This window comes from Homo sapiens, chromosome 2, assembly GCF_000001405.40.
Source record: "Homo sapiens chromosome 2, GRCh38.p14 Primary Assembly".
Taxonomy (NCBI): domain Eukaryota; kingdom Metazoa; phylum Chordata; class Mammalia; order Primates; family Hominidae; genus Homo; species Homo sapiens.
This window is the reverse complement of record NC_000002.12, coordinates 112,618,141-112,640,326: the sequence shown is the minus strand read 5'-3', so window position 1 is coordinate 112,640,326 and position 22,186 is coordinate 112,618,141. Positions and strand designations below refer to the sequence as shown.

General features: G+C 47.4%; 1 long non-coding RNA gene and 1 pseudogene across 1 annotated transcript, besides 2 other annotated features; one reads left to right on the top strand and one right to left on the bottom strand.

Moving 5' to 3' along the window:
- Positions 1-480: 480 nt before the first annotated feature.
- LOC107985934 (uncharacterized) lies at positions 481-7,033 on the bottom strand. The gene is made up of 2 exons (XR_001739642.2): positions 2,757-7,033; positions 481-1,367 (listed from the first exon to the last, which is right to left on the bottom strand). It is a non-coding gene; the product is annotated as an uncharacterized LOC107985934 (long non-coding RNA).
- Positions 9,160-9,677: an enhancer, noted in NCBI's record as "H3K4me1 hESC enhancer chr2:113388227-113388744 (GRCh37/hg19 assembly coordinates)". NCBI's record gives its function as "activates a minimal SCP1, AML or CMV promoter by ChIP-STARR-seq in naive H9 embryonic stem cells {active_cell/tissue: H9 hESC(naive)}" and the evidence as "EXISTENCE:reporter gene assay evidence [ECO:0000049][PMID:30033119]".
- Positions 15,708-15,847: an enhancer, noted in NCBI's record as "active region_16395". NCBI's record gives its function as "activates an Ori minimal core promoter by ATAC-STARR-seq in GM12878 lymphoblastoid cells {active_cell/tissue: GM12878}" and the evidence as "EXISTENCE:reporter gene assay evidence [ECO:0000049][PMID:35858748]".
- RPS20P11 (ribosomal protein S20 pseudogene 11) lies at positions 18,046-18,554 on the top strand (annotated as a pseudogene).

Below are 22,186 nucleotides of genomic sequence, written 5' to 3'. Positions count from 1 at the left end.
CAGTTTCTTCATTTTCCGTGGGGAAGTCTATCTCCAATGATGGGACCCTCTAGCCCTCTGCCTAGAGCCTTCACTCCACCCCAGACCTGCTGAATGAGAATCTGCATTCTAACAAGATCCCCATATGATTCATAAGCATGCTGCAGTTTGGGAAGCAATCACAAGAATGACTCTTGCTACCTGGTAAGTTTAGAAACAATATGTTAACACATTCCGTTTCAGTCAGATGTTCAAAAAACACCACTTTTTTCTATTTTAAGTCCTGTTTTTCTGAGCAAGCATTCCTACTGTTCTAGGTAAGGGATAGTTTAGCACATGGGACCTGGGGCCAGACTATTAGAAATTAGAATCTTGTCGACCATTTACATGCTATGAGGTTGGGCAAATTGCTTAACTTCTCTGTGCCTCCCATTCCTCTGTAAAGTGGAAATAATAGGGTTGTTATGAGACTTAAATAAGTAAAATGCATAGCACTATCCCTGGCATTTAACAAGCATTTATTTGAATATTAATTGGGTTTGGGTATCCCCCAGTTTTGTTATTTTGTTTTTATTTGTTTATTAATTTTTTGAGACGGAGTATTGCTCCATCATCCAGGCTGGAGTGCAATGGCACAATCTCAGCTCAATGCAACCCTTGCCTCCTGGGTTCAAGCAATTCTGCCACCTCAGCCTCCTGAGTAGCTGGGACTACAGGCTCCTGCCACCATGCCCAGCTAATTTTTGTAATTTTAGTAGAGACAGGGTTTCACCATGTTGTCCAGGCTGGTCTCAAACTCCTGACCTCAAGTGATCCACCCGCCTCGGCCTCCCAAGGTTTTCAGATTACAGGCGTGAGCCACCCTGCCCAACCCAAGTTGGTTGGGTTTTTTGTTTTGTTTTGTTTTGTTTTTTTGTCACAAGGCCTCACTCTGTTGCCCAGGTTGGAGTACAGTGGTGCAATCTCAGCTCGCTGGAGCCTTGACCTCCCAGGTTCAGGTGATCCTCCTTCCTCTGCCTCCCCAGTACCTGGTACTACAGTTGCATCCCACCACGAATGGCTAATTTTTGTATTTTTTGTAGAGACTGGGTTTCACCATGTTGCCCAGGCTGGTCTCGAACTCCAGGGCTCAAGCAATCCACCCACCTAGGCCTCCCAAAGTGCTGAGATTACAGCCATAACCCACTGCACCCGGCCTAATTTTGTATACACCACCTTTACCATCTTTTAGGATGAAGTGCTTCTGTGGCTGGTCTCATCCATTTAGCATAGATTCTTGCCAGTTTTATTTTCCAAAAGTGATTTTCTTCCTGGGGGCAACTTACTGTTGCCCCAAAATATATCCATTTTAGGACTGTTCATTTATTCAACCATTCAGCACCTACCACCTGCAGGGAATATGAAATTTTTAACTGTGACCTTGAATACTGCCTCTACCTTTTATTTTGTTTTTTCACTCCTCCCTCTCCACCCATTTACCTCTCCCTTTTTAATGATGGTTATAAAATCAAATGTTAACGCTGATTTATAAAAACCATATATGTGTATATATATATATATATACACACACACACACACACACACACACACATATATATAGATATATATAGGACTCACTCTCCTGTTTCCAGATACCTTCAAAGGCATTGTTTCATTTTATCTTCACATCTGTGTGATGTAGGCAGAGCAAGTATTTTTTTTACCCTATCACAGGGAAATGAGGGTCTGAGAGCCTGCAGTCGGGCAAGTAGCAAGTTTTAGAGTAGGGCCTGGAGTCCTGCACGGTGGGCCCTGGCAGGCAATGCGTGAGAGACTCCAAGTCTACTATACTTCCCACCACCCTGTGTTAACTCCCCATTTAAGCCAGAGGAGTGACTTACAGGTATGGGGATAGGGATGGGACATTCAGGCCAGAGAAGGGAGAGAAAGGGACAAGGGAGAGAGTACTTCATGCAGTGACTTCAATTGCAAATACCCTATTCCATTGTCCCCACTAGAATTCATATTTATCAGACTTGTATTCTGATTATTTCATAATATATGGGCACCGAAACAACCAGACTAATAGGGGAAATAGTTTAGGGCAAGAGGAGCTCAAGATTTTTAAAAATTATTATAAAAATAATACATGCTCGCTGGGTGCAGTGGCTCATGCCTGTAATCCCAGCACTTTGGGAGGCCGAGGCGAGTGGATCACCTGAGGTCAGTAGTTCAAGACCAGTCTGGCCAACATGGAGAAACCCCGTCTCTACTAAAAATACGAAAAATTAGCCAGACATAGTGGAGCATGCCTGTAATCTCAGCTACTCAGGGAGTCTGAGGCAGGAGAATTGCTTGAACTCGGGAGGCAGAGGTTGCATTGAGCCAAGACCACACCATTGCACTCTAGCCTGGGTAACGAGAGCGAAACTCGGTATCAAAAAAAAAAAAAAATTAGCCGAGCATGCCTGTAATCCCAACTACCCAGGAAGCTGAGGCATGAAAATCTCTTGAACCTGGGAAATGGAAGTTGCAGTGAGCTGAGATCACATCATTGCACTCCAGCCTGGGAGACAAAATGAGACTCCTCTGTCTAAAAAAAAAAAAAAAAAAAAAAAAGCTCATGTAAAAACTATACCATAGAGAAGAATATCAAGTGAAAAATGCTCCTCCTTAGAATCTCAACTTTCTAGTCTAACCCCCCGACATAACTACTTTTAATCATTACTTGTAATACACACACACACACACACACACACACACACATAGGTATTTTCACTATAATATATAGTGTATACCTTTTTTCTTTTAATCAGATGAAATCATACCATGGGGTTTCGCAACTTGTTCTTGATACCTTTGCACGTCACTGCATATAGATCTTCTTGCACGCCTTCTTTTATTATCTGCAGTGGAATAGACCATTATAAAGCACGTCCTTATGCAAGTGGACTCTCTGGGTCATGGGCTATGCAAATATTTTCATTTTATATGATATTGCCAAATGTCCACCCAGCACATAAGAGAAAATGCCAATTTCAAGGCTGGGGATGTTTTTTGATCCCCTTCTGATTACATATGGCTGGTGGTGTCATGGCCCATCCATATCTCCTTTGCCAACATTAATCCCGGCTTTGGCATCTCTTTAACTCTCAGTAGAATGAAATCTTTGGACGCTGATCCTCAGCAGTGAGGCATTTTCTTTGCCTTCTCTTTCCAACTCTGTAGTGGTCATTGATTAACAAGCCTGTCTCTCCCTTTCACTGGCCCTTTCCATTTAGACCCTGGCCTCTTTCCTCACTCCATCCTCCTCCCAACCTGCACTTTCTGGAACAGCCCCACAGGGCCCAGCTGGTGGGTGCCTCCTTCCCCAGGGGTGTGGGGTGTATGGTTGGTTTTGTGGCAAGGTCATCCTCATGGTCACCACCTTGCTTGTTGATGTTCCCTGCCATTGGCATGGTGGTTGTTATGGGATCAGCATGGGTAACCAAACCCTGAAGAGACACAGCTTTGCTGCTAGGAATTTTAAATCTGTAGTTCCTTACTGTCTCGCCAAAGGCTGGCTCTTAATAGCTCTTGTTGCCAGCGGCGCTGATGATGAAACCAGCCCTCGCCCTCACCTTTCAGTGGTTACCCACTTTCACTTCCCATCTGTCTGCTTATGCCTTGGCCGAAACAGGGACCACTCAGTGCCTCACTAATGTTTACAGCCCTCTGGATGATTTCTAGCCACCAGCTCTGATGGGCCCTATGATGAAGGAAGAAAAGAAGAATCAGTAGCAAACGGGAAAAGGAATAATTGCTGGTGCTCTGGGTCCCAGCCCTGGGCTTTGAACACCCTTGGCCATTCCCAGAGAATGCCTGGTCCATCCAGTTGCCTGACTTCCATGCTGCCTAACCACAAGAATAAAGACCAAGGCCTGGGGGTACTGGGGCCAGGTGCAGGCTGGTAGGCCTGGCACACAGTGGAGGGATAGGGGATGCAGCCTGTTGTGAAATCCAAGATTAGCATCTCCGTCTACCCCGTCCACCTCATCTGCCTCTTTCTGTCTCATTTTCTCCTTTGTCCTCAGCAAATTCAGCACTTCCTTCTCACTGTCTCCTTCCCTTTTGCCTCCAAACATCTATGCCTTCCTTTTTCTTCCTACCCATCACTTCCACTGCCTGTTCCCTGAGATAGCAGTCTCTACCAGTCCACCTTCCTTCCCCTGCACCTGCTCTCCTCTACCCTGAAAGGTATTGCCCGTTTCCGCACCCCTGCTGAAAATCTTGTTGCCCCTTAGCTTCAGACGCCCCAGCCTCTTCTCAGCACTCTTTCTGAAACCTCTGCAATTGGTAATGCTAATAGAGCACTTCCCTAGGACTGTCTTCTCCCCTGACACCTGTGTACACCCCACCTCTCCAGTTCCACAACAATTTCCTTTTTCCTTATCCCCAGTATCTGTCCCTCCACATTTTTTTCGGGGTTTCACCGAATCCATCCCTGCCCTAAATCATCACCTCCACATGCACTTTTCCACCAGGCCTCCATGTCCTGCCCCATAGCTCTCAATGTAAGCTGCATATCTCTTCTGTTAAATATAACATTTAAACCAAAATGTCTCAGCTTCTCACCTCCCACCCTGAGCAACCTCCCTCTCATGATTCCCCTGCTTCAATAACCAGAGCTGCACCTCTCTTACATACTCTGAAGCTTCAAGCCTGGTGTCCTTTGAATCCAACTTCCACACGGCATCAGTCTTTACATCCTCTGAGATTTCTCCCAAAGCAGTGCCTCTCCTGAATCAGAGCTCCCCACTCTGCCACCTTTTCCAGATTATTGATTCCTGGGTGGCCCAGTCCTGTACACTCTCCCCATGTGCCTTCATCATCACTCCCTTACGCAGACACCTCTCGGGGCCCTCTGTTTGTGGAATGGGGCCCAGCCATGCAGATTTTCTCCAGTCCATACCCTCGTGTCCTTCCCCACTGGGGAACCTCCCTCTCCCATGCTCATCCCAGGGCTGACTTCCCCCAGGCCGTGTGCACCTCACCTCTATGCACCCCTTTATCATCTGTGGGAGAAGATCTCTTCTCTAAATTCAACTCAGAAATGCAGATGACTGCCCCATGCATTGGGTCTGCCATTGTCCTCCCTCTTTGCCTGTATACTTGTTTTGTTTTCCCAGCAAAATCAGAAGCTCCTGGAGCGCCTTTGCATTTCTTCATGCCCTGCTAAGGTGGGGTTGGTAAATTCATAAACTCAGGGGCAAGGCCAGAATGCATATACAACAGGTAGACAAGAAGGACGGTGTTGGCCGCACAAAACCCATCTATAGATTGAATGGACCCGTGGGCCGCACCAGTTTGAGATCCTTAGCCAGGTGCCTGGCCCTGTCAGTGAGTCCATGAATCCTTTGTGGTGGATGCCCCAGAGGCAGCAGTCAGTCCCCAGCGTCCGGCAGACTGTTGGAGTGGGTGACCTGATTTCCCTGGCCTGGTGTAGAAGGAGCAGCCTGCCTCAGCAGGCACAGAGGTGTCAGCTTCTCACTCCGTGGGCTGTGCTGCACCTGAAGTCAGGTGCTGCCACAAGGCTCTGGTTTCCTGTGAGATCTAACCAGCGGTCGCTTTTCTCACTCATATACTAAGGAAAGAGTGGGCCTGCCCTTCCTCCACTCATGACCCACTCAAAGCTGCCCAGACCAAGTTTACCTGGAGTTTGTGCGGGTGATTTTGGCTGGGCAGCACCTTTATGCTCTGAAGCATTTGGGAGATGGGGATAGGGGTGGAGACAGAAGGACAAGAGGAGAAAGGCAGAGAGCAAGATGCAGGGGGAACGACGCCCTGGAAACCGGGGCCCTATTTTCACTCCTGTGGCCTGCCTTCCACCCCTACCCCTCCCACTGCCCCAGGCTAAGTCCACACGGCAGCCCTTGACACCTCTCAGGTGCTTCCCAGCCTCCAGTCTCACTCCACCCCACCCAAGCTACACAGGCGGTGAGACTCAGCCGCTGAACCGTGAGTTTCACAAAGCCTTTCCCCATGACCACTGCCTGCAAAACAAACTCCAGACCGCTCTGTCTGGCTGGAGCTTTCCATGACAGGGCCCTTCACTGTCTGTCCAGCTTTATTTTCCTCTGTTTCACCACGGGAAGAATGTATTCTGCCCGGTCCGGCTTGTCACCACCATACCTTAGAACGTTAACTTCTTCAGGAATGTGAGCTGCTCCCAAGTCTGTCCCCGCATTCTCCTCCTGGTAGCAAGCCTGGGGAATGGCATAGTTACCCTAATTCCACAGATGAGGAGAAAGGGGTCAAAGAGTTCAGGTGCTTCTCAAGACCACAGCACGACAAGCAGGAGAGCTAGTCTCAACGCAGGCCCTTTTTGCTCCACAGTTCAGGGTCTTCCCACGTAACTTTACTTAAAGGAAAATTGTAAGCTCCTGAGAATGTGGGCTAGGCCGTACTTGTTTTGTTTGTAAATGTGTACATGGGTGTCTTGGTTCATTCAGGCTGCTGTAACAGAGGACTATAGACCAGGTGGCCTGTAAGCAACAGAAATTCATTTCTCACAGGGAGGCTGGGAAGTCCAAGATCAAAACGCCAGCAGAATCAATGTGTGATGAGGGCCTGCTTTCTGGTTCATAGACAGCTGGCTTCTCACTGTGTCCTCAGATGAAGGAAGGGGAGAGGAAGCTCTCTGGTGGTCTCTTTTATAAGGGCACTAATCCCATTCATGAGGTCTCCACCCTCATGACTGCATCACCTCCCAAAGGCCGCACCTCCAAATGTTATCACATTGGGAATTAGGTATCAACACGAATTTGAGGGAGAGTTTTTTGTTACCTTTTTTTTTTTTAGATGGCGTTTCACTCTTGTTGCCCAGGCTGGAGTGCAATGGCACGATCTCAGCTCACTGCAGCCTCCACCTTCCAGGTTCAAGCGATTCTCCTGCCTCAGCCCCCCCGAGTAGCTGGGATTATAGGTGCGTGCCACCACACCCGGCTAATTTTTTGTATTTTTAGTAGAGACAGGGGTTTCACCATGTTGGCCAGGCTGGTCTTGAACTCCTGACCTCAGGTGATCCGCCTGCCTCGGCCTCCCAAAGTGCTGGGATTACAGGAGTGAGCCACTGTGCCCGGCCACAAACATTCTATCTAGTGACATTTTATCTATTGCTCATGGGTTACAACTACAATATGTAACAAAACAGAGCTAGGTAAATAATTAAGAGGAACAGTCATGCATTTTCTTTGGTTTGGTTTTGTTTCTTCTTCTTCTTTTTTTTGAGACACTCTTGCTCTGTCGCCCAGGCTGGAGTGTAGTGGCACTATCTCTGCTCACTACAACCTCCTCCTCCCAGGTTCAAGTGATTCTCCTGCCTCAGCCTCCCAAGCAGCTGGGACTGCAGGCATGTGCAACCATGCCCGGCTTATTTATTTATTTATTTTTTTGAGTTGGATCCTCGCTCTGTCACCCAAGCTGGACTGCAATGGCGTGATCTCGGCTTACTGCAACCCCTGCCTCCTGGGTTCAAGTAATTCTCATGCCTCAGTCTCCCTAGCAGCTATGATTACAGGCACTTGCCACCACCTTCAGCCTATTTTCTTAATTTCTTACTTTTTTTTTTTTTTGAGACAGAGTCTCGCTCTGTCACCCAGGCTGGAGTGCAGTGGTGTGATCTTGGCTCGCTGCAACCTCCGCCTCCTAGATTCAAGTGATTCTCCTGCGTCAGCCTCCCAAGTAGCTGGGACTATTAATTTCTTAAGTGGTGGCCAGGCGCGATGGCTCATGCCTATAATCCCAGCACTTTGGGAAGCCGAGGTGGGCGAATCACAAGGTCAGAAAATCGAGACCATCCTGGCCAACATGGTAAAACCCCATCTCTACTAAAAATACAAAAATTAGCTGGGTGTGGTGGTGCACCTCTGTAGTCCCAGCTACTCAGGAGAGTAGGACTCTCCAGCTGAGGCAGGAGAATCGCTTGAACCCGGGAGGCAGAGGCTGCAGCTAGCTGAGATCATGCCACTGCACTCCAGCCTGGGTGACAGAGTGAGACTCTGTCTCAAACAAACAAACAAAAAAATTTATTAAGTGGTGACGTTTCTACACAAAGTGAAGGGATAACCGAGTTCTGTAATTGAATTACATCACTGCTCCCTGCCCTTCTGCTCCACCGCGGTGTACCCTGGCCTGCCTTTCCCCGCTGTGGCTCCAGAGCCAGTGGTGACCCCCTGCCCAGGCAACAACAAGGAAGAGATGGGCACCTCTAGACCCCAAGATGCAAAAGTTCCTCTCCTCCCATTCACACACTCTTTTTGGCCAGCATTTCCCTGGCCGGGATCCCTCCAGCAGCTCAGTTGAAGAGCTAGCCACCTAAAAAAGATTTGCATTACAGTACAGTGTGACAAGAGCCATCGTAGAGCTGTGCACACAATATCGCTGGGGTACCAGGTGGAGTCTGGGGAATCTTTGTGAGTTAGGGATGGGTATGTTAAAGGAGTGAAGGAAAGATATAAAGTACTGAACAGGAAAGCTGCAAAGAGCAGGCCCTAGGAGCTTGAAGTCCATCATCGTCAGTAAGCCCCGCCTTGGCTTCTGTTTCTTAATGAGGCCAGACTCTCTCAGTCTGCAGATCAGAGCAAACAGAAGCCCTCATCTGTTTATAGTTTAATCCTAACCTGATCCTAGCTTGGAAGCAAAGCTTCTCTCACTTTAGCAATGACAGCTTCTCCGTACACTTTAGGACCATGGCTTTCCACCTACAAGTCCCCACAAGCACTTTTTAAAAAATGAAATTAAAGAAAATATCAGAGTGCATCCAACAGAGTAAGTATTATTTCATGAAACTTTTGATTCAGTGACATGTGTGTATGAGTCTGGGTGGTAATGTCAGATGTATTTCTTACTGAGATTTTAAAAGTTAAACTTTAAACGTTTAAAGGAAAACATCTGTTCATCAAATATTAAGTATGATCAGAAACTGTATCTTGTTCTAGGGTAAAGAAAAGAGCAAGACTTGGCTCCTTCACTTAGGAAGCTGTGAATCTGGGGGCGAAAAGACAAACATACCGCTAGGACAGGATGTGAAAACCACACTGACAAAGTGGCGTCAGGGTGCCTGGAGTTGGGAGGAGGAGCCAGCACCTTCCAGGAACCCCAGTGCCCCTGGAGGAGGTGGTGTGTGGGCTGGTCCTGAAGCGGGCTGCAGGAGGAAGCGTGTTCTCGGAGGGGATGGGGGCGTGGATGGACAGCTGTAGCCTGGTGTGGGAATCCAGGGCAAGGGGCTGCTGGACCAGGCTTGGGCAGAGGTGCCAGGAGGGACACAGGGGCAATGATGACAGGGAGGAAACGATCAAAGCGGACCAGATATTGACTTTATCTTGTGGGAGATGTGGGAGATATATATGTGTGTGTGTGTGTATACACCACACACACACACACACACACACACACACACACACACACAGTGGCACAATCTCAGCTCACTGCAACCTCCGCCTTCCAGATTCAAGCAATTCTGCTGCCTCAGCCTCTCCCGAGTAGCTGGGATTACAGGCACCTGCCACTATACCCGGCTAATTTTTGTACTTTTAGTAGAGGCAGGGTTTCACCATGTTGGCCAGGCAGGTCAGACATGTGTGATATTTTTTGTTGTTTCAAAAGGGGATGACAATGGGAGGCAGCGACTTGAGGGCCAAATGTTGCATTTGTCCTCGTTTCAAGGATTTTTTGGGTTTATCTGAACATTCGTCCTGATTAAAACTTAGGATGCCGTGAAGCAGTGGTCTGATAGGAATTCTCCATGTTTTCATTTTGTTCATGTTTCCTGCTTGCCCTCCAGCTAGACCCAGCGTTGGTATGTGGCCACCTTCCTTTCCCACAAAGCCTTTTTGCTTTCCTATTTTTTCTCATTATCCCCACTGTGCACCAACTCCAGCTGCGGAAGGGACCCAGAAGGGGAGAAGTGTTTTCTTCTAACACCTCTCCTCACCCCTGGGGGCTACAGGCAAGCTGGCTTTAGAAAGAGACAGCAGGGCTGAGAACTTGCTTTTCAGCTCAGCAAACAGGGAGTGGCTTAGAAAGTAGAGACAAAAGAGAAAAGCAAAAACAACTAAAGGAGCAAACGTTTTGTGCAAAAACATTTTTTAGTCGCAGATCCAGAATATAGAGTCTGCCTTCTCCTAGGTAATCTCTTGGAGCCCAGTAATTGAAAGGGGTGGCAAATATCCAATATCTAAATGTAGCTGTCTAAGGGCTAAAGTTAGGGACTGGAATTTACCAACCTCACCCCAGCCTCATTGTGGACTTCTTCCTTCCATGATGTTCGCCTTGACTTGGAACTCTTATATTAAGAGTCATCCAGCAGCGTGACGGACGTCCTTCTGTGTTGTTCGTTCCCATGCAGAAGCCGGTCTCCTTTGCTCTTAACACGCCAAGCCCCTTTTAACCCTTTGCCCCAAGTGTCTTCTGCTCTCCGGAATTCTCTGTCTCCTTTTCTATACCTACCTAAAATCCTATATCCTCCAAGAAAGCAGCCCACACAGAGTGCCCAGAATTCCTAAAATCTTTTTGGTCTTTAAATCTTTTTGTTTTGTTTTGTTTTTGAGACAGAGTCTCGCACTGTTACCAGGGCTGGAGTGCAGTGGTGTGATCTTGGCTCACTGCAACTTCTGCCACCTGGGTTCAAGAGATTCTCCTGCCTCAGCCTCCCGAGTAGCTGGGATTACAGGCACCCGCCATCATGCCCAGCTCATTTTTTGAATTTTTAGTAGAAACAGCGTTTCACCATGTTGGCCAGACTGGTCTCGAACTCCTGACCTTGTGATCCAGCCACCTCGGCCTCCCAAAATGCTGGAATTACAGGCGTAAGCCACCATGCTCGGCCTGGTCTTTAAATCTTTATGAATCATAAAGGAATTATTCATTCCCTTATGTATAACCTCAGGATGTTAAATGTTTGTCACTGAGATTTTAAGTGTTGTAGATTCTTGGAACTCAGAGACACTAAATCATCCTTCTGTGCCTGGCTCAGAGCTGAGGATGTAATAGGATTTCGGAATTGAGATCTAATATAAATCTGGTGCAAAATCTGAGTTCAAGTCCCTGGGAGCTTGGGAGCTTCCTTTGCCTCCTTCCTAAAGGGCAATTCCCCTTTTGTAAAACTAGACTAGTCATCGTACCTACCATTTAGGGATGCTGCAAGGGTTAAACTAGAAAAAGTTTAACATGTTACTGGGATTAGTTATTTTTACTACAAAGTGGTAAGATAGAAGTCAAAGGGTACATTTTATTTGCTTGTTTCTGCTTGTGTTCAACTTTAGCGTTTTCCCTGTCCTTGTGAGTTTTATTTGTATTTATTTTTGAGATGTGAAATATTAAAATGATTTTAAAAGTCAGTTCAGAACAAAAAGAGGATCGGGTGCGGTAGCTCACACCTGTAATCCCAGCACTTTGGGAGATGGAGGCAGGAGGATAGCTGGAGCCCAGGAGTTCAAGACCAGCTGGGCAACATAAGGAACCCACATCTCTGCTAAAAATAAAATAAAATAAACAAAAAGAGATATTCCTAGAAGTCTCATTCCCCCTCATTCCCTTTATTTCCATCCTGTTCCTACCATGCCCTGCAGGTAGCTAATCTCATCCATCTCTGTTTTTTTCTTTTTCTGTTTCTTTTTCCTTGAACAAATAGGTAAATGTGGCCGGCCTGGTGGCTCACGCCTGTAATCCCAGCATTTTGGGAGGCCAAGGCAGGTGGATCACGAGGTCAGGAGATCAAGACCATCCTGGCTAACACAGTGAAACCCCTCTCCACTAAAAATACAAAAAATTAGCCGGGCATGGTGGCGGGCACCTATAGTCCCAGCTACTCGGGAGGCTGAGTCAGGAGAATGGCATGAACCCGGGAAGCGGAGCTTGAAGTGAGCCGAGATCACACCATGGCACTCCAGCCTGGGCAATAGAGCGAGACTCCGTCTCAAAAAAAAAAAAAAAAAAAAAAAAACTAAATGTTCTGTTTCCTCCTCTCAAAGGTATACTTGAGACAATGTCCTTTCGAGACCAGTTTTTCAGGACTCTGGCCATCTTTTGCACATGTTGGTTGGGAGGTTGGGAGGTGCTAGGCGGGCAGGAGCTCTGTGACAGTGGCCTTAGTTGTGTCCTAATCCTCCCCTCATTCTTCACATGACTAGCTATATCATAAATACTTACCCCAGGTCCCAAAGGTGTCTCTATGATTGGTAATGGGGCCACAACCCAGTTCCTGCTACCCAGGAGACTGAGGTTCAGGTTTCCTGCCCTAGTGAAGCATCCCCATCAAGCTCAGCATGGCCTGCTGATTCTCCTGGAGATGGAGGCAATTCAGGTACAAGCCTGGATTTCTGAAGAACCACTCTTGGTGCTTGCAGAGCCACGACAAGTACCAGCCACACTCCTGCAACCTTCACACCTTATGAGAAAACAGCACTTTATGCTTCTAATCTATCTATCTATCCATCCATCCATCTATCTATCTATCTATCTATCTATCTATCTATCTATCTATCTATCTATCTATCTATTTTTTTTAAATGAGATCTGAAGAATCAAGGCCAAAAGACCCCTGGGTGTTTCTCTGTAGGACCTCTTTTTAAGGAGGGAAAAACCTGAGTAAATTAAAGTTCGCAGCCCTAGGGCGGTGGCCCAAGGCAGTGGAGGCCCACCGCTGGAGGTATTCATTGGAAAAAGCAGTGGGAGTGGAGAATTCTGTCTCGGAGTAAGCTGTCCACAAGTCTGCTCGGAGGCTGTGACTCACTCTGAGGAAAAGGAGTGCCCTGTATTCTGGAGGAGGCTGCTTTCTCCAAACAGGAGATCTGTGGCCAAGGAAGGAAATGAAGCAATCCAAGACTGATCAGCAGCCGTGGGGCAGGCAGAGCTAGACGTCCACACCACCCCCAACTCTTTGTGCTTAATATTTGCCCTGTGCCCCCAAGGAATAAACAGCACTACAGAACTGGATTCTGGTGAGAAGGGAATCAGGCCCTATCTTGGGCCCTCTCTGGACCTTTGTTTGCCCATCTCGAAGGTTAAGGGGTGAACTGGACAGGGAGGAAACTGGCAGCCAACTCATGTCCCAACTCAGCCTGTGGCTGCATTTTATCTTACTCACAGTTAGAAAAACAATTCAATTTAGGTGCCTTTGCACAAGGCTCTTTTCTCCAGTTCGGCATAGCCACTACCATTTCCTGCCATCTTACCCTAAGTCAGCTTCACAAATTCAGGCTCCCTGCCTGCCCTTTGAAGTTATTTGAAATGGCAACTCCAGCACTAGCAGCAACCAAGTCCCTTCCAGCTCTGGGGTCCCTCCCGAGGATTCTATGCCTCGGAGAAACAGGGAGTAGAAGCAGGGTGAGCAGGCTGCTCTGGAATGAGAAGGAGATGATCCTTAGTCTCAGGATGCTACAGAGGGTGAGTGTGGCAGCATGCCAGGGCCGAGCATCTGCCAGGCAGCACCATCACGGCTTAGGGAGAACTCAAAAACAGCCTTTTTTTACAGCCTCCTGGTGCATCCTGTTTCTCTGGTGCTGCTGCCACCAGCAAGTGGGCACCATGCCCACCCTGCAGTGGGCAGTGAGGGGGCTAGGTGCCCATCTGTCCCGTCTCCTAAGCAGGTGCTGGGAAGATGGCGCCTGAGCTCAGGCTGCCCTCTGCTGGGTGAGCATAGAAGCTGCTGTGGGGTCTGAGACCACAGAAAATCCCACAGGGGAAGGAGGCACCCCCTCTCAGATTCTCCACATTCGTGAGGTGGGAATGGCTTGATTGTGGGCTGCTGCATCCCTGCCGCCTTCCAAAGAAGACTCAGTCTCTAGGAAGGTAGTCTCAGGTCCTGTAAGTCTGCATTTAATTAAAATCCCTTTCTTTTTTCTTTTTTGTTTTGAGACAGAATCTCGCTCTGTCACCCAGGCTGGAGTGCAGTGGTGCAATTTCAGCTCACTGCAACTTCCGCCTCCTGGGTTCAAGTGATTCTCCTGCCTCAGCCTCCGGAGTAGCTGGGACTACAGGCACCAGCCACCATGCCCAGCTAATTTTTGTGTTTTTCCTAGAGACAGGGTTTTACTACGTTGGCCAGGCTGGTTTTGAACTCCTGACCTCAGGCGATCTGCCAATATCAGCCTCCCAAAGTGCTGGGATTATAGGCATGAGCCACCGTGCCTGGCCCCAAAATCCCTTTTCTGACATAGGGCCTAGCACGACGATGTGCTCAGTGAATATATATTGAATAAATAACTAGGCCAGCGGTTACCTACGGTAGAAACTGCTTCTGTCTTGTTTGGAAGGGCAACTTTATTGTTTTTCTTCCTCAACTTCCTCTAACAGACGCTAACCCCTAATGTCTACTCGGGGTCCTGCCTGGCTCTCCCAATTCCAAGCTGGTGCTCTGGCCTGGGCATCTTCCTCCAGGCTCCCCGGGGCATGGCTTCTCCTAGTTCCTCAGCCCCAACCCAGGTTCCTGCTGAGATGAGCACAAATCCCCCTTTTCTCTCATCATTTCCTTCTGCCTTCCCTTTGAACACCTGGATTCTTGTTCCACCTTGAGCTCACTGGACTTAGAGATATTCTCTCCTTCCTGAGGCAGCCACAGGGTGTTTCTAGCCCACTTCACTATTAACTGTTGTTACTTGACACATGGGCACGTGTCCATGGGGTGGGGTGGGCAGCAGGAAGGGCTGGGAACTTCTGGTTTCTAGGAGGGAACTCTGGGGCCCCCCTAGGGTTGTCCTGGGATAGGACCAGGCCCAGTTTGGGGCTGGGGTAGGGCTGCATGAGACTGAGCTGAATGCCCCATCAAAGATGAACGTTTCTTCAAGCATATTTCAGGCGTTCTCACTTAGCTCTACACAATGATCTCACCAGATTTGGGGAGGGGGAATGGGGCTCCCTCAGGTTTTTCCTATTATACCTATTTCTCTTCCAATTTATATTTCCTAATCAACAATAGAGATCTGTTTTTGATTAGCTAGATGAGATACATAGGAAAAATTCGGCTGGGCGCTGTGGCTCACACCTGTAATCCCAGCACTTTGGGAGGCTGAGTCGGGTGGATCACAAGGTCAAGAGTTCAAGACCAGCCTGGCCAACATGGCCAACATGGTGAAACCCTCCCCCACTCCCGCCCTGTCCCTACTAAAAATACAAAAATGAGCCGGGCATGGTGATGCATGCCTGTAATCTCAGCTACTCGGGAGGCTGAGACAGGAGAATTGCTTGAACCCCGGAGGCAGAGGTTGCAGTGAGCCAAGATTGCGCCAGTGCACTCCAGCCTGGGTGACACAGCAAGACTCCATCTCAAAAAAAAAAAAAAAAAAAGGAAAAATTCAAAGAGCTATAGAGTCAGTAAAAAGTTTTAGTTGCCCCACCCATTCCTCCATTTCCCTTGCCCAGAGACAGTCTGCTGCCATTTTCTTGTGGATCCTTCTAGAAACAGTATCATGAACATAGTTATATGTATATAGGCATGCATTCAGTCAGTATTTGAACACCTGCTATGATTCAGTTACTGTTCTTCTATAAAACATATAAAAATCCTTGTTCTAGAGAACCTATATTCTAACAGGAGGCAAGGAGTCAGAGAATAAATGAGGTAAATCAAATATATGACATGTTAGATGTTGATACATGCAATGGAAAAAACTTACACAGGGTAGGTGAGTTGGGGTGTGGTCCCGAGTGCCTTTCCCCTGGGCTGCCTCTCCTCACCCTGAGAAACCTGGGGCCACACAGCTGGTGCAGCTCTCAATTCTGGTTTCTCACACGCAGGAACCCCACCCTGCCCTGGTGAGTCACGCCTTCACTTGGCTTCCTGATGTTGGAGGGCAGGCCTCCCTTACTGCCTCAAGGCTGTTCATCATCTTCAGCTTATATCCTGGGTCAACGTTGATGACTACTTTGCTGGCTTTAATTAAGTGGTCTATGGGCCAGGAGAATAAGGATCAACATCATCTGGGGACTTGTCAGAAATGCAAATTCTCAGGCCCCACCCCAATACTACTGGATCAGAAACTCTAGGTTGGGGTCCAGCAATCTGCGTGGTTTTTGTTTTAGTTGATGTTATTGTTTTAGAGACAGGGTCTTGCTAGGCCGCCCAGGCTGGAGTGCAGTGGCTATTCACAGGCACAATCATAGCATGCTGTAGCCTCAAACTCCAGGGCTCAAAAGATCCTTCTGCCTCAGCCTCCCAAGTAGCTAGGACTACAGGCGCACCCTACTGCGCCCAGCTGAGCAATCTGTGTTTTAAAAAGCCTTCCGGATAGCTCTGATGCATGATAAAGCTTTTATGAACCTCTGCTCTGCGGAAATGCCTTACCATCTCACATGCCTACCAGCTATGGTCATAAGCACACATTTTATATAATCGTACCAAGTTTTGAAAAATCTTTTCCAAGTTAAATCCTAGACAGGTGTACAAATTATATGTTAAGAAGTAACAGATAAATCTTACAGCCCAATTATTTGAAAATAAGAATCAAGTCATTTGAGTCTGGGCCTTCGAAATTTGACATGTAAGAATATTCATAGAAAATTGACTTAGTCCTAAATTCTTATCCCTAAATCCTGTTTTGTTTTGTTTTTTAATTTTTTTTTAAATTTTTTTTGGTTTTTTTTTTTTGAGTCAGAGTCTCGCTCTGTCGCCCAGGCTGGAGTGCAATGGCACAATCTCAGCTCACTGCAACCTCTGCCTCCCGGGTTCAAGCAATTCTCCTCGCACCTCAGCCTTTTGAGTAGCTGGGATTACAGGCGCCCGCCATCATGCCCGGCTAATTTTTGCATTTTTAGTAGAGATAGAGTTTCACCATATTGGCCAGGCTGGTCTCGAACTCCTGACCTCATGATCTGCCCACCTAGGCCTCCCCAAGTGCTGGGATTACAGGTGTGAACCACTGCACCCAGCCCCAAATCCTGTTATCTAAAAGATGACAAAATTTGAGCCTAGGCAACATATCAAGACCCCATCTCTACAAATTTTTTTTAAGAAATAGCCAGGTGGCTGGGCGTGGTGCCTCACCCTGTAATCCCAGTACTTTGGGAGGCAAAGGTGGGTGGATTACGAGGTCAGGAGTTCAAGACCAGCCTGACCAATATACTAAAAATACAAAAATTAGCTGAGCATGGTGGCACACGCCTGTAGTCCCAGCTGCTTGGGAGGTTGAGGCAGGAGAATCACTTGGACCTGGGAAGTGGAGGTTGCAGTGAGCCGAGATCAAGCCACCGCACTCCAGCCTGGGTGACAGAGCGAGACTCCGTCTCAAAAAAAAAAAAAAAAAAAAGAAAAGAAAAGAGAAAAGAAATAGTAAGGCATGGTGGTGCATGCTTATAGTCCCAGCTACTCAGAAAGCTGAGGCAGGAAAATCACTTGAGCCCAGAGGTTCAAGCCTTCAGTGAGCTATGACTGCCACTGCATTCCATCCTGGGCAGCAAAGAGAGTCTCTGTCTCTACTGAAAAAAAAAAAAAAAAAAAAGAAAAGAAAAGAAAAAAAAAAGAAAAGAAAAAATTTGGAAATAAATTAAAAGTGCATAAAAGTTATTAAAATACTGCTAAATAGTAATAGATAATTTATCTTCCTCTTTACACTCTGCAGAAGAAACGGTGAATGGTACTTATTAGGCAATGTGTAAAGCACTTGACGTGTGTAATCTTATCACATCTGCACAAATGACACACGATCCAAAGAACATTTTTGGCTCCAACTTACAGATGAGTAAGCAAGCTCAGGGAGGATCTTTCCTGATAGATATTTAGCAGCAGAGAGGGCCAGGAATTGGGTTCTGTAATCTCAGTCTGTGCTCATTTTACTGGAAGCCACATGTGTAGATACTGGTATTATCTGAGCCTAATCCCTGGAATCTCTATGGTCAATTGGAGAGAGGCTTAGGGAGGTCAGGGGATAGACAGGTCTTGGCCAGAGTCCACCTCACAGTGGGTCAGGTAGGATCCCAGGCACACCGTGTGGCTATTTTGCCAGCCTTGCTGTCCTTATCCGAGGAATGCGGTCTGTCATGGTGGGAATGCCCAGTTAGAATCCTTGAAAGGGCCACCTACAACCAAGATAATAACCTAAAAACAATTCTGTGGAGGAAGACGCGGTCGTAGGTGCTGAGGATTTCTCGTTCAGACGCTCCTGCTCCTGACTTACCGCTGTTCACTCTCGCCGAGGAACAAGTCGGTCAGGAAGCCGCGCAGCAGCCTTGGCTTTTAAGGATACCGGAAAACACCCGTGGAGCCGGAGGTGGCCATTCACCAAATTCGAATCACCCTAACAAGCCGCAATGTAAAATCCCTGGAAAAGGTGTGTGATGACTTAATCAGAGGCGCAAAGGAAAAGAATCTCAAAGTGAAAGGACCAGTTCGAATGCCTGCCAAGACTTTGAGAATCACTACAAGAAAAACTACTTGTGGTGAAGATTCTAAGACCTGGGATCATTTCCAGATGAGAATTCACAAGCGACTCATTGACTTGCACAGTCCTTCTGAGATTGTTAAGCAGATTACTTCCATCAGTATTGAGCCAGGAGTTGAGGTGGAAGTTACCATTGCAGATGCTTAAGTCAACTATTTTAATAAATTGATTACCAGTTGTTAAAAAAAAAACAATTCTGTGCCTGATGACATTGCAGAAATTAGTTCCATAAAGATTTGAAAGATGCAGGGCTACTGATTTCCATAACACCATTATTACCTCACCTATTTGGTCAGTGCAAGAGGCAAATGTTGGTGGAGAATGAAGGTGGATTAACACAAACATATTCATGGGTTTGCTTATCCCGCCCACAGCACTTCCTCCAGCACCATATATTCATAGATTTACAAATGCTTATTCAATTGCAATGATGTCTTACATACAAATTATTTGTCCATGGGCATGTTTTCATGATAAAAGATGTTAAGCTATGGGCCATGGCTATGGAGTTCCTGCTTACTACATGCCACATCTCCTAGCAGCAGGCAGCTTCACAGAAGGTAGTGGAAAGACCTGCCGCAGCCTTAATTATGGTGGCAGTGTGGGCTCCACATCTACGACTTTACAATGTGTAGTGAACCTTTGGATACCTCTCAGAATTTCCCATCAGGACCTAAGCAGTGATTCCATGAGCTGCTAGAGTATGGACTGCTAATGATTCACAGGTGAAACCTCTTCCAAGAATGTCCTTGGCCCACAGGAACAGTCTTACCCAAGGTCATGCACCCTTCCCAGTGTAGGGACACACAGCCTGTTCTAAGGATATGTAATACTTCTGTCCATAATGGCAAGTGATGTTGCCTTTGGAAAAATGCTACAGTGAGAACAGCATTAGTGGGATGAGAGCACATCCAGGACCCACTGGGCTCCCTGAGCCCAGCCATGTGGTGTGGGTGAAGCAGTACAGGCGGGGAAAAGACCACTGCACTGAGGAAAAGAGCTGGCAGGGTCCAGCGTGCTTAAGAACAGTGTCCAGGCCAGGCACAGTGGCTCATGCCTGTAATCGCAGCACTTTGGGAGGCCGAGGCGGGCAGATCACGAGGTCAAGAGATCAAGATCATCCTGGGCCACATGGTGAAACCTCATCTCTATTAAAAATACAAAAATTAGCTGGGCATTGTGGCGTGTGCCTGTAGTCCCAGCTACTCGGGAGGCTGAGGCAGGAGAATCGCTTGAACCCGGGAGGTGGAGGTTGCAGTGAGCCAAGATCAAGTCCCTGCACTCCAGCCTGGCATCAGAGTGAGACTCCATCTTAAAAAAAAAAAAAAAAAAGCAGTGTCCGGCAGACTGTACAGACTGCACTCTGCTCAGGCCAGTTAGCTCTAATGATCCTTTTCAGCTACAAGTGCCAGTGACTGGCTACTCTGTAGAATGGGGTCATCAGGCATCAAAAGAGTCACATAATGGCATTACAAGATGGCCAGACATCCCTTGATCCCAGAGGAACATTTTGTGCCAGCACCTCCAGCTTCATGGAGGCATTGATACACCAAGTCCCTGAGGATGCCTGAAGCTGGTTCACAGATGGAGCCCGCTAAGTTACAGGCTGGCGGATTGTTCTTGGCCCTTGCAGCTGTGCAGCCACAGGGGAAAACAAAAGCTGTTTAAAATTTTGCACACAAAAAAAAGGTACTACCCAGTGGACAGAGTTGGGGACAGTGGTGGTTTTCCTGAAAAACCCCTCCAAAATGCTCCTTGCTGCTTTTTCATTGATTTAGAGACGGTAGCCAATGGGCTGGCAGTGCGGGCCTGTGCCTGGAAGCAAGACTAAATGATCAAGTCTCAATCCCTATGGCAGTGAACATTATGGTATCAGACTTTTTTTTTTTTTTCTGAGATGGAGTCTCCCTCTGTTGCCCAGGCTGGAGTGCAGTGGTACGATCTCAGCTCACTGCAGCCTCCATTTCCCAGGTTCAAGTGATTCTGTTGCCTCAGCCTCCCAAGTAACTGGGATTATAGGCTTGCACCACCGTGCCTGGCTAATTTTTTTTTTTTTTTGTATTTTTAGTAGAGACGGGGTTTTGCCATGTTGACCAGGCTGGTCTTGAACTCCTGACCTCAGGTGATCCACCATGCCTGGCTATTTTTTTTTTTTTTTATTAGAGATGAGATTTTTGCCATGTTGACCAGGCTGGTTTCGAACTCCTGACCTCAAGTGATCCACCGCCTCAGCCTCCCATGCTGGGATTACAGGCATGAGCCACCGCACCCAGCCTCAGATTTTATTAATACTACACCACTGCCCTCTGTTTTATGGATGTGGATGTCCATAGAAATAGCATGAGTGGAATTCAAAACCCAATCAGACTTGTGCCTTCCAGGTAAGGACAACTGAATACATCATCACAGAGGCCACGACATTCTGTCTACAGTGCAGGACTGGGACCCAAAGCAAAGATGAATGACTCCAGCACAGGAAGCCACCGAAGTCTGGTAAATGAGCCTGTCAGTCAAGGGGCAAAGAAAACTCCAGGGCACATATAAACTCAGGACACCAGATTCTGGCCAGTCCTGGCAAATAGGCTACATAACCTCCTAAATGCTCCACTTGGGGATGCAATTAAGCATTTCCTACAGTAGGCACCTTTCTGGGTATGGCATGGCAATGTAGGTCCTTACCACAGATAGGAGGTAGATGTAACATAAATTTAGGGACTCGCAGATGACCTGTGTTACATACTGAGATTCCCTGAATGTATCTCATCAAATGATGCGCATTTATAGTCAAGAGTACCCAACACTGGCCAACCACCTTGGACATTGCCAGGACATCTCAGGACCCTCATCACCCACAGGCAATAGATGCCATAAAAGGATGGAATGAGGCTGGGCGCCATGGCCCACACCTGTATCCCCAATACTTTGGGAGGCTGAGGCAGGTGGATCGCTTGAGACCAGCCTGGGCAACATGGTGAAACTCTGTCTCTACATAAAATACAAAAAATTATCCGGGTGTGGTGGTACACCCCTGTGGTCTCAGCTACTGGGAAGGCTGAGGTGAGAGGATCACCTGGGCCCAGGAGGTTGAGGCTGCAGGGTAAGCCGTGATTGAACCACTGCATTCCAGCCTGGGCGACAGAATGGGACCCGGTGTCAAAAAAAAAAAAAAAAAAAAAAAAGAGAGAGAGAGAGATGGATGCTTAAAGGAGAAGCTAAAAAGGGTACATAGAGAACCAAAGCTCAATTCTCAGTAGAGTACACACTTAAAACAGACAATATGGATTCTAAATGTGCCAATACCCCAAAAGGGAACTTCCTTTTTAAATAGAATCTGTGTGAGTTTGAGGAGTCGGGGAGGAGGCCCAGACTGTCTGTAAGAGACCCAAACCAACACAATATACTCTCCTTCTTCATTCCTCCTTTCCCTCCCACGCTCACCCCTGGGGAAACCAAACTATGCTGCTTTTTTCTTTTTTTTTTTTTTTTGAGACGGAATCTCACTCTGTCGCCAGGCTGGAGTGCAGTGGCGCAATCTCAGCTCACTGCAACCTCCGCCTCCTGGGTTCAAGCAATTCTCCTGCCTCAGCCTCCTGAGTAGCTGAGACTACAGGCGCCCACCACCACGCCCGGCTAATTTTTGTATTTTTAGTAGAGACGGGGTTTCACCATATCGGCCGGGCTGGTCACAAACTCCTGACCTCAGGTGATCCACCCACCTTGGCCTCCCAAAGTGCTGGTATTACAGGTGTGAGCCACAGCGCCCAGCATTTTTTTTTTTTTTTTTTTGACACGGGGTCTTGCTCTGTCGCCCAGGC